Here is a 14,220-nt window from a genome sequence, read left to right on the forward strand (position 1 = left end):
TCCTATCTTCTGCTCCACTCCAGCTCCTGCCTTCACCTGGCAGAGTGTCCATGTGGGTAGTTGATCCAATACCCCAAGTTCAGAGTCCCTTGATCTCCTCAATCCAGTGACTGACACCTCCACTCCATTTCAGCAACTTCACTTCTGGGGCCACAGGCTGAGACTTGATTATCTCCAGAATTTCTCCATGTCCAAAACTGAAATGGGATAGTTCCCTTGACCCCTTCGTGGGACTCATGAAGGGGTTGTCTTGTTTACTCATCCTGCAGCTCTCAACTCCTCATGGGAGGGAGAGCACATAGGTGAGTGGGTGCAGAGGGTGGGACAAGTGCTTCTGGGTGCTGGCAGGAGTAGAACTCTGTGCGGCCCCGCAGCAGCATCTAGGTGAGTATCTGTGACCCCTGGAGCCGCAGAGGGCATGTGTTACAGTGTGCTCTTTTAGCTTTGCTGTCCATGGACAGCTTAAGTGTTTTAACAGCTCAGTGTGACAGCCCTCTGTATCCTGAACTCTTGTTCAGCAACCAGGAAGGATCAGCTTGCACGAACAAATTGAAGATGGTGAATGTGGAGAACTTTATTGCTGATGAAAATGGCTCTCAGTGGGATGGGGAGCTGGAAAGGGGATGGAGTGGGAAGGTGTCTCCCCCTGGAGTTAGGCCATCCCCAGCTGAACTCTTCTCCGAGGTCCTACCGTCAAGCCATCCCTCTGAAGTCAAGCTGCTTTTCACCAGTGTCAAGCTTCTTCTCTTCTCTCCTTCTCTGCCATTCCACTGCCAGTGGATCCTGGGGTTTTTATGGGGACAGGATGGGGGGCAGGGCGGGCCAGGGTGATTTTGGAAAAGGCAACATTCAGGCAGCAAAATGGGGATATAAAGTTCTCACTTTGGGCCACGGGTCCAGGCTTGAGGGTGGAGCCATTGCCAGGGACCCCACCCTTTTCTACCTAGTATTTCCCTGCCTCCACTCTCCAACTCTCTTATCACAGGCCTCCTATCCATAAATCTTTCTCACTCCCTTATTTTTTTTAGAGCTCACCTTCAGACTTATGAAAGCTCAAGTCTTTTGAATTCCTCTTTCCCTCCCAGTCCAGCAGGCTTCACTTCTCTCCTTGCTAGCCTGGAAGTGTCCATTACACCCTTGACTGTGTCGCGGCTGACACATGGAAGGCAGGTGTCTGGTATTGTTAAATGAACGTTAACAAGTGCAACTTCTTTAAAAAGTAAGATTTCTTTATTTGATTGATCAGTTTTTTTTTTAATTAAGTATCTAATTTCCATTGCTTCTGGATTTAGGCACACATATTGAATATAAAATTCAAAACTTTTCATGTATCTAAAGAAATAATTTTAATGACCACAGAATTTTGCTCTTAAAACAAATGGAGCTTGCAATATAATTATAACTAAGACAGACTACAAGCACCTGCTGTGTTTTCTTCATGCTGCCATCAGGCTGGTGCATAGTCTGATGGGATGGATGCATCCCTGCTGTAATAGGAATAAGTAAAGAGGGTGGGAGACTGTTGTTGGTGTTTACAATCATTATTCATCTCTCCATTAATTTTCATCCTTGCAGTTGAGATAATCTTGCCTTTTAGAACGAGAAAACAATCTTATTACTTACAACATTCACAAGACAGGGAAACACTCCTCAACAAAGAACCATTTCCTTTGGGCATTTGATAAGAACTGCTGACATCTGTGTTTATTAAGTGATGTGGGAGAATCAGCCAAGGGGCAGAGGTGTGGGTGGTAGCTTCAAAGGTAATTTCCTGACTGAGTGTGGTTGGGCATGTTGGCAATCCCAGTGTTTGCAATTCCAGTGCTTTGGGAGGCTGAGGCAGGAGCATCACTTGAGCCCAGGAGTTTGAGGCTGCAGTGAGCTATGATTACGCCACTGCACTCCAGCCAGTGTGACAGAGAGAGACCTTGTCTCAAAAAAAAAAAAAAAAAGGATTTTGCTTTCCTGGTCTGTTTGAATGTGGTAAGCACAAGAACTTATTTGTACTGGTGGTCACCCACTTGGGTCCTTTCAGTAAACTTCTGGCCATGGCCCAGCCTGAGCACCTGCTTCCTTTACAGAGCAAAGCCAGAGCCTTCTGGTTTGTAATTTTTGCAGCCACATAACACTGATCCATTTTAGCTGTCTCATGAAACTGCTTTCCAAGATGAAGTGAGACTATCCGAAACCAAAATCTAAAAAGAATGACTACAGAACGAATGGCAGTCCAAGGTCATTTGGCAGGGTAGAATTATAAGGAAAGGTGATGGCCAGCTACTGTGAAGTCTTAAGCCCACTCATAGGTACGAATCTCTTACCAGGACTGAAGTTTGTGTTTCCTTAACTTTGCTGCTTGATGGTCTTCTGCAAAGGATCTCATTTCTCCAGCTTTCACTGGGAAGTGGCATGGGGTTTTCGAAAGTGCTTTAAACTCTAAGAACTGGTTTCCTCTCAGGCTTAGCCACCACTAGCTGTCTGACTTTGGACAAGTTACTCAACCACTCTGAGCATCAGCTTTCTTTTTTTAAAATGGTGACAGTGATATGGCTACCTTAGAGAGTTGTGGAGATTAAGTGAGATAATATATGAACAAAATATATAAATATGTCTATATTAGACATATATGATCTGTTAAATATATTTATATATATATATAGAAAGAATATTAGAGAACTGACATATTTATCTTAGACCTACTATGTTCTAGGGCCCAGTTCTGCTCATGTATTATCTCTCTATATATATAGTATTGAGAGAGAGAAAGAGAGAGAGAGCTAGAGAAATAGAAACCAGTAGGATATATCCTATCTGAAGAACTCTAATACAGGTATTTCACTGAACAAAATGGCTTCTCCTTAAAATGTATTCCAACACCAATTTCCCCTCCTTGCTTCTCATACATATTAATTCACAGAAATTATATTGGTCATAAGGCGGTAGGACTATGAATAATTTTTTTCTTCTGCATTTGCCAAATATTCTGTAATGCTAGTTTTATTTTTATAACAAATTTTTAAAGTCCCTGTAAACCCTATAAAATTAACTACTAATCCTAAACTTGAACTGTAATACATATTTTTGTTAAATAAAAAAAAAGATATCCTAAATTTGAGAATCTAAGCTAAATTCACAAAATGACTAAATGTATCTTCTTACTCTTAAACGATAAGAAACCAGGAATGCAGTGGTTTAACCCAAACAGCCTAGGTATTCTTCACTCATTTCTCTTGTCCTCAGTATATGTTTCCCCCAGGCCAAGAAACATTTATGGCTAGGAATTCATGACTGCTCATCTGTAAGACACTCTCCAAGTACTCTGTCATGATTTGGAACCAGAGCTTTGGCCTTCCATTCCAGATGACCTCCAGGTTCTAAGCTTTATCTGAAGTACTCCACACTACATTGCACACCAGCATGATGGGAAGGAATGACTCAAGGGAACTGGGCATTCAGACCACTCACCAACTACACACAGCCTTTCACACAGCAGTAGACAACCTTTGTAGGAAGACCTCTGGCCAAATATTTATATATCAGGAGTATATCAATGTATGGTCACAGTTACCTCCTTTTTAATCTCAAGAAATAAAGTCATTACTTCTGAAAAGAACACCAGTAATGGAACTACACGGGCATGCCAAGATGAAAATTAGTCTCTCTCTCTCTCTCCACCCCATTCTTTTGGCCACTGCATTTTAAACAGGCCATAGTGATAGAACCAGAAGGTAGCTGTGTTTCGATTATTTTTGTTTTCTTATTTTTAAACATTGCTTTATAGAAGCCTGTTCTATAATGTAAGAAGTGAATAGGAATCCTAGTATCTGGAATGATGCTGAGCCATGGAGATGGCCAGATTCCATGTGAAGAGAAGAGGCTGGCAGAAAGCTAAGTATTTGCTCGCTTTCCCTACCCTGTATTCATGGAGCAGCCATTACAAAAGATGACGCACCAGACCATGGGCCTGGTCTTGCTAGGTGGTGGAGATCCAAAATGCTGGGCACTCACTGGAGCTCCGTGAAGATCTGTTGAATGAGTGACTAAATGTGTGGTGAACTGTCCCTACCTACAGGGTTCCCTGCTTTGCCCAGCCTATCAGGCTTGGGTACAAGCAGATAGCCTGGATTGGATTTCATGAGGGCTTTGTGCCCACTCTGTATACTACCGGAAGATGCATAATCTCTTTAGACTTCCTGGGTCATCACTGAAAGGCCAGAGGCAAGAATTTGAGCAGTAAATTGAAGCATGTGCAGAGTGACATAGTCTGGGCATAGATAACAGTACCTGACCCCTCAAATTCCCTAAAGTTGACATGACAGCTTGTGCATCATGGTTTGGTACAGAGATGACTGAAGAGACAGTGGTTGCTCCTCTGGTTGCTGGACACCTTTTGAATGGGCTGTGATGACTGGAGAGCGTGCTCTGTCCTGGTCACCTGAAGGTGCTCCTAGACTAGCAGAAGCAGAGACAGCAGCCAGGCCTGACTGGAGAGCTGGAGGGACTGGGTGCAGGGGACTTCTAGGCCAGCAGTTTCTGTGCTGTGCTCGGAGGGGCTCTGGTGGCAGGAACCTAGTCCTGGGTTCCAGCTCTACCAGGGTGCAGCCTGAGGAACTCAGCTTTCCTATTTATTGGCTTGCCTTGCCACAAAGGATTTCTTGTGTGTTAAAGATACTAATAGCTTAAACAAACAAACAAACAAACAAACAAACTATTGATTTAAACCACTAATCAAATCTTTGGTTTTACAAATTTAGAAAATAAAATTAGGCCCCAGGGACTAAATGTCTCTCCTATGGTCCAGAAACCAGACTGAAACTGACCTAGTAGCAAAACCCATTCTCCTGTATCCCAACTCCCAGTTCAGGTTCCTCTTCATTAGCTCCCACCCAGCTGCATAGTTGAGGACACTGAATTGAGGGGACCTGGGGTAAAGGGCTGGCACTCAGGCATCGCTGGCTTCTACATGATTCCACCACATGGAAAGCATCATAATCATGTATGATCCCTAGAAAAGTGTTTGCTAAACTCCTTAAGTTGTCATTCAACAAACATTTATCTAGCACCTACCACATGCTAGGCAAATTCTAGAGACACAGCTGCCCCTGCCCTCATGGAACTAAATGTCTTGAAAGAGATACTGGCCCTGATCAGATTTTTTAAAAATACATAATTATGCAAATAAATCATATTATATATAATTACAAAGCATGGTATGAAAGGAAAAGTACAAGATGCTGTGAAAGCGTATAAAAGGAGGACTTGGCCAAGTCTAGAGGATCATCAGTGAGTGTTCCCTGATGGACTAACATTAGGGCCAAGATCAGAAAGATGTCCAGGAGTTAACATGGTCAATAATCACTGTTAATCTTTATTAAGCATTTCCCTTGAGTCGAGTCAGGCTTCACTTGCTGCATTAACTTCTTTAATCTCCACAATAACTCTGTAAGGTAGGTGCTTTTGCTTTTTTTCCACTTTACAGATGAATAAACAAGAAGTAAAAAGATGTAACTAATTCACATGTAGCCCTCTGGCTTCAGAAGCTCTTTACTCCATAAGGTTCCTGGGCACGTGGGTGTGGTCTAGGAATGGGAAGAGGCTAAGAATGCTGAAGGGCAGACTGAATGTTCCAGATGAAGCTGGCGTGATAAGAAAGGGCCACATCATGTGGGTCTTATAGGTTATGATATTCATGTTAAAACTGTTAATGTTTTTGAAATATCTAAAACCAGGAAGTGCATGATCATATTTATGTTTTAGAAAGATCACTCAGGCTGCTGTGTGGAGACTGGAGTAGAAAGAAGCATAGAAGAGACCTACAGAGACTAGGAAGCTGTCACAGTAACCTAGGCACAAGATAGTAGTGGTCAAGACTAGCTTGCTTGAGGAAGTGTAGAGAAGTAGACAGATAAAAGGAGCATCCAAGGAGTGTACACTTCTAAGTAATTTAAAAGAAAGAGTCAAATCCCTTAGAAGCAATCATTTGAAATAACCTAATTACCAATCCTTTTTATCCAGTCCTCTTATGTTGTCCCAATTCAGGAATTCTTAAACCAGTTCTTGTGTTAAAATCATAGCATGGACTGCCTTACAACATTCTATACTTCAGTCCATTGAAAACCACATCAGGCCAGGTGCGTGGCTCATGCCTATAAGCCCAGCACTTTTGGAGGCCAAGGCGAGAGGACTGCTTGAGCCCAGGAATTGGAGACCACTGAACTCTAGCCTGGGCAACAGAATGAGACCCTGTTGAAAGAGAGAAAAGGAAGAAAGAAAGAAAAAAGAGGAAGGAAGGAGGGAAAAAAGGAAAAAAGGGAGGGAGGGAAGGTGGAAGAAAGAAAAAAAAAGAAAGAGAAAGAAAAGGCTGCTTCCTGGCACTTCTATTACCATGTGACACGAGAAGGGCAATTGTCCAGACCCACACTTAGGTTCACCACAGTCCTTGGTTCCCAGGACAGAGTCCTTTGAGGTTCCTTCAAGCACCCACACCATGCTGGAAAATGCAGGCTTTATAAACTCCAGATGTCAGTCCACAACTCCACAGCCCCATTGGGTTTGGTTCCTGGATGAATTCTCGGCTAGATGACTGGAATAGAGTTCTGGTGAACATCTTCCTTCCTGCCAAGATGACAAGTCAGGTTTCTAAAGACAGATGTGTAGCTCTTTGTGGAAAAAATATTCTGGGCACGAACATCTTCGGCTGAACGGCATGGAATGGTGTGGAAAATGTGAAGCCCTGGACTGGTTTCTGTGTCAGTGGTTTCCTGGGACTGCCGAGTTGAAGGGGAGCAGAAAGGGCTCAGCTGTGGAGGAGGCAGAGATTAGCCAAACTAGACCAGCTATCGCCCCAGCTGCATGGATAGCATCTTCCTTCTTGTTCCTGATTAAGCTCATTTAATATGCCAATGACAAAAGGATCATGAAGGTCTTTCCAAATGAATGAATGTTTTCTGGAGCTGAGATTGCTGGCTCCTATTTGCATAGTAGTGCATACTGAGGCATCTGACCGGATTACTGGATTCCTAACTTTTACATTCTTTTTAAGCTCAGATATTTCTACGGAAGGCAGAAAGATAAAGGCCAAAAAAAGATCAGGCTTGCCTAGCTCTTGGGTTTCCAGGAAACTGACAGACTCCTGATATCTGCAACTAGTGCTTTCTCTCCCTGGGCGGGGCGTTCTCCGCCACCTTGTGGACATTTGGGGAACTGCACCGCCCCAGCATCTATGATCAGAGGAACTGACAGAGGCTGCCATAACTACCTGGTCCCCTGAAATAAAAACCAGGCACCAGGTTTGCCCAAAGGAGGACCAACACATAGCAGAATGAGGCTGAGTAGGATGTTAACCTTCCATGCTGGTCTTCCATTATCACGTTATCTGCCACTGTCACAGACAACATCTGCATCCGCTACAGATGGAGATGGAACAAAGGCTTTCACTGGATCTCAAGTTGGATGCTTCTGTAAAAGTAAAGTTCCAAGACCTTTTTCTTTTTTTTCCCCAGTGACAGCAAGAAAATTGGATGTTACTATTGGCAACAACTATTTCCTGCTTGTGAAGCGTTGGTATTTGCAGTGCTTCTGCCCTGTGGTTATTGAGCTGAAAGGGGGGCTGCTCTTGACATAGGAGCATGGCAGGATTGGATTCTTCATAACATGCTACCCAGCTTGTCTTATGTGAAAAGAGAAGCCCAGAAAGAGCTTGGGACACAAAGATGCAAATCCTGGGTTTGCATTTGATTTGTTAAGTGTCCTTTCACAACCAGCTTGCAGACTTTAGGGGAAAAAAAATACATGGTAGGCTTGTGGGTAGTGGAGAAAACATAAGCTCCAGTACCTCACAGCCTGGGTTTTCAGTCTGCCTCCTCCCAACCCTCATCACATACCAGCTGTGTGACCGTGGGTACTCTGTCTATGACAATCAATTTTCTTGTCTGCAGAGTACAGATAATAGAGGACCTGCCCCATGGGAAGCTTGGAGGACTAAATGAGATTAAGCCCAGGGCCTGGCTCATGGCCGATTCTCGTAACAGGTCCATGTGTGTAATCAACATGTGCTGAAGTTCTCTGGACCCTCTGTAAATATCTAATAGGAACGACTAGCCATGGGTGTGATGAGGGAGATGCTAGAAACAGTAATGGGGTCAAATGAATCTGTCCCATAGTCTCTAATTTGAAACAGCTGAACTGTGCCATTGTCTCCTTGGAGGTAAGATATAAGCCACAGAGTGCCTGAAGCAGGTCTACAGTTAAGGAACTTAAATGTGCTAAGTGATTAAAGGCTGGGCTGCCTACTCCCTGTATGGCGACACTCTCCACCCTCCTGCATACTCTCCACTACTCCAGGCAGTGGTGGGCCTCCTAGCCTCTGGGTGATGAGCAGCTCCCACATCTCCCCTTTGAGACAGAGGCCTGCAGAACCTGACCAGTGTGAGGGCTGGCTGGGGTCAGGAGTGTGCCTGCTGGTTGGCCCTCAAGGTGAATGTGGCTCTTCTAAAAGACACCTGAAGGGATGCAGAATTTAGCAGCAAACGCCAAGAACAGCTCTTTGTCATCTCTGCATCTTCTACTAAAGATTTTAAGCTCCGAAGTATATGTCTGGGGTTTCTAGAGATTGCTATTCCCTTATAAGGGAAAAAATACACCCTTATTGTATATTTATTGAGCACCTACAATGTGCCAGGCACCCCAGCTAGGGAGTTTAGATATTTAATCCTCTCAGCTGCCCTGTAAAATAGGGATTGTTTAAAATGGATTTCGCCCACCTTATAGGCAAGGAAACTGAACTACAGTATGGTAAAGTGGCTTGGCTAATCCACCTGGCTAGTGAGAATGGAGCCACAGTGAACCTGGAGGATACTCTTCACGGCGTTCCATCTTTGTGTGCCCCACAGCACAAGCACAATGCCCGGGTCTTAGGAAGAGCTTGGTAAATGACTGCTGAGTTGAGAATGGTAGGATTCATGTACCAAAAGGGCATTTGGAAATGGGCAAATGCCCAGATAGGGCTCTGAAAGACTAGCTATGTAGAGCAACAGATGGCAAATCATCAATTTAAAACTCTGTCATCCAGCCAGTAGCCCGCTGGCCTACAGCCAGCCATGTATGTACAAGGGCTGACTTGATCAGCTGTGGCTCTTTTATTTCAGGCAATCCACCTTCCAAAGAGGTGCCTGCTGGGAAGTACCCATTCATAGTCACTTCTGATGATGGGCGGAAGGTTCCTGTAGTCCAGGCCTATGCTTTTGGCAAATACCTAGGCTATCTGAAGATCGAGTTTGATGAAAGAGGAAACGTCATCTCTTCCCATGGAAATCCCATTCTTCTAAACAGCAGCATTCCTGAAGGTAAGTGAAGTTCAGGGGAATGTTCCACCAATCTAAAATTTAGATGGCTGGATATTTTGCTCCTTCCCATTTTTTTCCTTTAATGTTTCAGGAAAAGACTATAATACTGTTGAAGAATTTAGTTTCTTCCTTGAGTTTGCCCTCTTCATGGATAGATTTAAAACACACCCAAATGCCAAAAGCCCCACTTGCTTCTTCAAGTCTTCTCAGCATCAGATTCCATACATCACTGCTTCCTCTGCCTTTTAAAATCTTGATCCTGACATGCCAAAGCCACTCTCAGCTTGTGTTTACAGGAGAGATAACTGAACTAAAGGGGTTCTAATTGGGCAGAGCGGGGCTCAAGTCCTGGCCCCCCAACTAGAGGCAGTGTGCCTTAGGCAAGTTGCCCAATCTCATGGGCCTCAGTTTCTTTATCAAATGAGGGAGTACCTTATTTATATGTCTGAGTCTATTGCGGGATCTGGCCAGCAGCCCGCAATGCAATGGGGCTCTCTCTTTGTTCCTAGGCAGATTGGCAGGTTGAGAAATAATAGACACACACAAGATAGTGAAAGCTGGGTCCAGGGGGGTCACTGCCTTCTGGTCCTGCGGTGCCAACAATGCACTGGATATACCAGCATTTATTATTAAGTTTAGTGAGGGCAGGGGTACGTTAGTGAGGGATTTAGGGTCATTTGATTATGAGGTGAGATGGTCACATGGGGATGAAGTAATTCTTTAACATAACATTTGTATGTAGAAGTACAGTACATTTGTATGTAGAAGTACAGTATGAGATAAGAATTTACAATATAGTGTGTGCGTCAGTAATTTCTAACAGAGCCTTAGAACAGAAACACAGTCTTTCCATAACCTATGATTAGCAAGATATTAATCAGCAGTAACAATTGCAACAAAAACTGGTTACAAATAATCCATGGAAACAGGACATGAAGCTAGATAACCAGTTAGACCAGAAATTCTCAGAGGGGAGTACGCCTTAACCCTAAAGAGGCCTAGAAGAGCGGCGGCAAGATGAGCGTGTTTATAGCCCTATCTTATCCATATGGACAGGCCCCCCCCATGCGTCCGTTTATAGGCTCCCCACAAGGGTCACATTCCATTCCCAGAGCTATGAACATCTGCTTTTCTGGGATAGGAATCTTGGTGATGGGAAACCTCCCTGACTGCACGTCCATTTGTAGGCTCTCTGCAGGGGGAAGCACATCACGTGCTGTTGGCTCATTGTGGCAGTCCAACCTGGCATTGTCTTTACACAATCCTGCATGCAATTTTGTATTTACAATAATCAGGAGCATTTCATCTTTTATTCCGTAGCAATAGTTTCAGGGCGTCTCCCTACATGAGTCTCAGAGTAAAAATACATTTTTATATCATTGATTTTCATATGTGTACAGAACACACTCCTGTGCTTGTCTCTCACTTTCCCTTTTCTGTTGACTATGATCATGTCAGGAAGATGAGGTGCACAGCACCCAGGTGAGCCTGTAGTCACAACACAGCCCTCTCAGTAGCCAGATGGGAAAGGGGCCCAGGACCACACTGACAGCGATAGCCCAGCTGTACCTCAGCAGGCCTTTTATAACTGCCCCTGGGCCTTTCAGAGCTCCTACCGCCACCACTAATGCTGTCCCAGGTGGGCCAATGGGTAGCTCATACAGATGTGATGAGCTGGTAGATGTTCAGAATATTCTTAAATTAAGATGCATTCCAGGTCTTATTACCAGGAAACAAAATAGAAGTTCCTAAGGAAATTTCATGGTCAAAACCAAAATGCACACAAATATGGTAAACAAATATGTTCTCACAGCAAGTAAGATAGATGATGTTTCATTCCTTTTCCAGAATTTAGCCCAGTGTGAGATTTAATTGTAGGGTACCTTCTTTTCTTTCTTCTAGATCCAAGCATAAAAGCAGACATTAACAAATGGAGGATAAAATTGGATAATTATTCTACCCAGGAATTAGGGAAAACAATTGTCTATCTGGATGGCTCCTCTCAATCATGCCGCTTTAGAGAATGCAACATGGGCAACCTGATTTGTGATGCAATGGTAAGTCATCAGCAGGAGTGGACATATGCTAGGGAGGAAGGAAAGGAAGAGGGAAGAGGAAGGAAGGATGCGAGAAGGGATAGATCGATAGCTACAGAATGAGGGATTTCAAAACATTTTTAGCCAGGGTGGTGGCATGTGCCTATAGTCCCAGCTACTCGGGAGGCTTAGGTGGGAAGATGGCTTGAGCCCAGGAGGCTGCAGTGAGCTATAATTGCACCAGTGCACTCCAGCCTGGGCAAAAGAGCGAGACTCTGTCTCTAAAATTAAATAAATATGAAAAATAAATAAAACATTAGTGCCTAAACAAAAGCCTGATGTAGCTTCATACTCAGTACCTTCTTAAGGTGCTGGAAGGAGATCAGGTAACCACCAACATACTGCTTTACAAGAACTAAAACCTTTATTTTAAGGTGTTCTTAGATGTCTGAATTTTGGATGTTGCTTTCCTTTTGTAAGATGATGCAAATGCACAAACTCTGCTACCCTGGAGATATCAACATAATAGATAAAAGCATATCTGTTTGGCCAGACTGTTTTTCACTCATCTGTTCACTTGACTCCAGAGAACCCTGGCCTTGTGTGACAGGAACCTCTTTCACAGGCACAGAAAGACAACACACAGTTTTAATGGTAATAACAAGTCCTATGGCTGAGCAAGACCAGGTATGAAGAACAAGCCCGTCTACTTGTCACCAGGCGGAATGGCCATGGTAGCTCTCTGGGGGCCTTACTGAGCCAAGGTCTCCTATGTCGGACTACTACTTCCATGGGCTCACAGCCTGCACCCAGGGAAGTCATTTCTGTCAGTGCTTGGCATGCATTGCCCAGTGCCCAGGATACAACTGCACTCGATAAATGTTTGCCGTGTAAATGACAACAATCATGCTCATGCCAAGACCAGACTCATGATGTCTCCTCAGCATCATGCAGTCAATGCCAGAGAAGTAGTTAAGGAGAAGCTGGTATATAAATGTTAAGAGAAGTCTGGAGGGAAACAACCCAGGCTGTTGGCAGTGCTTATCCACTCTGTTAAAGAGGCTAGGACAAAGGAGAGCTTTTGCTTTTTATTTATTTATTTATTTAATTAATTAATTTATTTATTTATTGAGACTGAGTCTTGCTCTGTCGCCCAGGCTGGAGTGCAGTGGCATGATCTCAGCTCACTGCAACCTCCGTCCCTTGGGTTCAAGCGATTCTCCTGCTTCAGCCTCCCAAGTAGCTGGGATTAGAGGTGTCCACTACCACACCCAGCTAATTTTTGTATCTTTAGTAGAGACGGGGTTTCACCATGTTGGCTAGACTGGTCTCGAACTCCTGACCTTAGGTGATCCACCTGCCACAGCCTCCCAAAGTGCTGGGATTTACAGGTGTGAGCCACTATGCCTGGCCTTTTTTTTTTTTTTTTTTCGGCTTTTTGTCTCCTAAATGAGAATATATTCATTTTATTTCTTATAACTAAACATATATTTTGTAAAATAAAAGTAAGAATGGATGTGATTCTCCCCAGCTTCAAAAGGCTGTCTCTGTCTTTCCAAAATTGCCAACTTGGGAATCAGCTGCAGACATAGACGTGGAGGCCAGGTTCTCTTTGGCATGAGGTCTGGTGTTGAGCAGGCTCTAGGGCCAAGCCCTCAGAATCAGGCAGAGGGCATGGCCTGCCCTGGAGAAGCCTGTGCAGGAGTGACTCTGCAGGCCACCTTGCATGGGAGGCCCAGTCCCGACACCAGGGCTACAACCGAGAGACCATTTTGCTAAGGCCACCTGGCCTGACAGTATGGGAGTTTTAGGAGGGGGAAATAAGAGTTTGACATGGACTGGTAACAGTATATTTTTACTTCTGGGAGCATAAAATTAGTTCTAATTATAGTTGAGAGATCCCTGGGAACACAGCAGCAGGTGAAAAGCAGCTTTATTTCCTCACTAGAGCTAACCAGATTCCTGGAGCTGATCCTAAGGAAGAAGAGCCAGAGTAACTAGTGTAAATCTGTGCTACTGTTGCAGATTAACAACAACCTGAGACACACGGATGAAATGTTCTGGAACCACGTATCCATGTGCATTTTAAATGGAGGTGGTATCCGGTCGCCCATTGATGAACGCAACAATGGTATGCTCCCAGGCCCAGCTCCTCAGTGTGTCATGTTCTCTCTCTGATCTCCTTTTCTGTTATGGTTCTTGCCCTGAACACACCCATGTGCAGCCTCAGTTCATCTCTGCTGCCAGCCATGTACCAGAATGTCAGTCCTTTAAATTAGGGTTAGCCATTATTAAAGTCTAAAACCTAGCCTGAAGGACACACACAAGCTTGTGTGTTCTTATATGTATTCACACACAGAAGCTGCAGGTAAGGTTAGTGGAACTCAAACTTGGTCTGAATTTCTGACTTACAAAGCTATACTAGTTGTTTCTGATTTATGCAAAATAACAACAGTCACCACCTTGGCATCTGAAAAGAGACAAAATCACCAATCTTCTGTCCTGAAAAAGACATACCACTGGATTAAAATGTTACCTTAGTATATTTACAGATATCCAAGATTATATCATATGGCAAAACAAATCAACTACACAAATACTCAAGACACTCTTGTAGCCCTCCCTGATTTACTGTGAAAACCAATCAGTATCAGTATAAGGCCCCAAACGCATCCCATTGTCAGACAACAGGGACAGGTTGCAGGGGCACATTGTTTGTCTGGAGGAACGGAACAATGCAAAACAAACTACTGGAGATCCAGCCCCAAGCTAGCAGATCTAAGACTGAGCATGGTGAACTTCTGAGGCACAGCCATTTGTGAGCTCCCGCCATCTTGCCCAGT

The 14,220-nt window shown here is 44.0% G+C and overlaps 1 protein-coding gene across 2 annotated transcripts in view; it reads left to right on the top strand.

Annotated features, from left to right (window-relative positions):
- The window catches only part of NT5E (5'-nucleotidase ecto), a 45,702-nt gene that overhangs the window by 26,009 nt on the left and 5,473 nt on the right, over positions 1-14,220 (top strand). For both annotated transcript variants that reach the window (NM_002526.4, NM_001204813.2), the window contains exons 4-6: positions 9,144-9,341; positions 11,244-11,398; positions 13,403-13,508. In NM_002526.4, coding sequence (NP_002517.1) covers positions 9,144-9,341; positions 11,244-11,398; positions 13,403-13,508 — 459 coding nt within the window. The remainder of the gene's footprint in view (positions 1-9,143; positions 9,342-11,243; positions 11,399-13,402; positions 13,509-14,220) is intronic.

Source organism: Homo sapiens, chromosome 6 (assembly GCF_000001405.40).
Source record: "Homo sapiens chromosome 6, GRCh38.p14 Primary Assembly".
Lineage (NCBI taxonomy): Eukaryota > Metazoa > Chordata > Mammalia > Primates > Hominidae > Homo > Homo sapiens.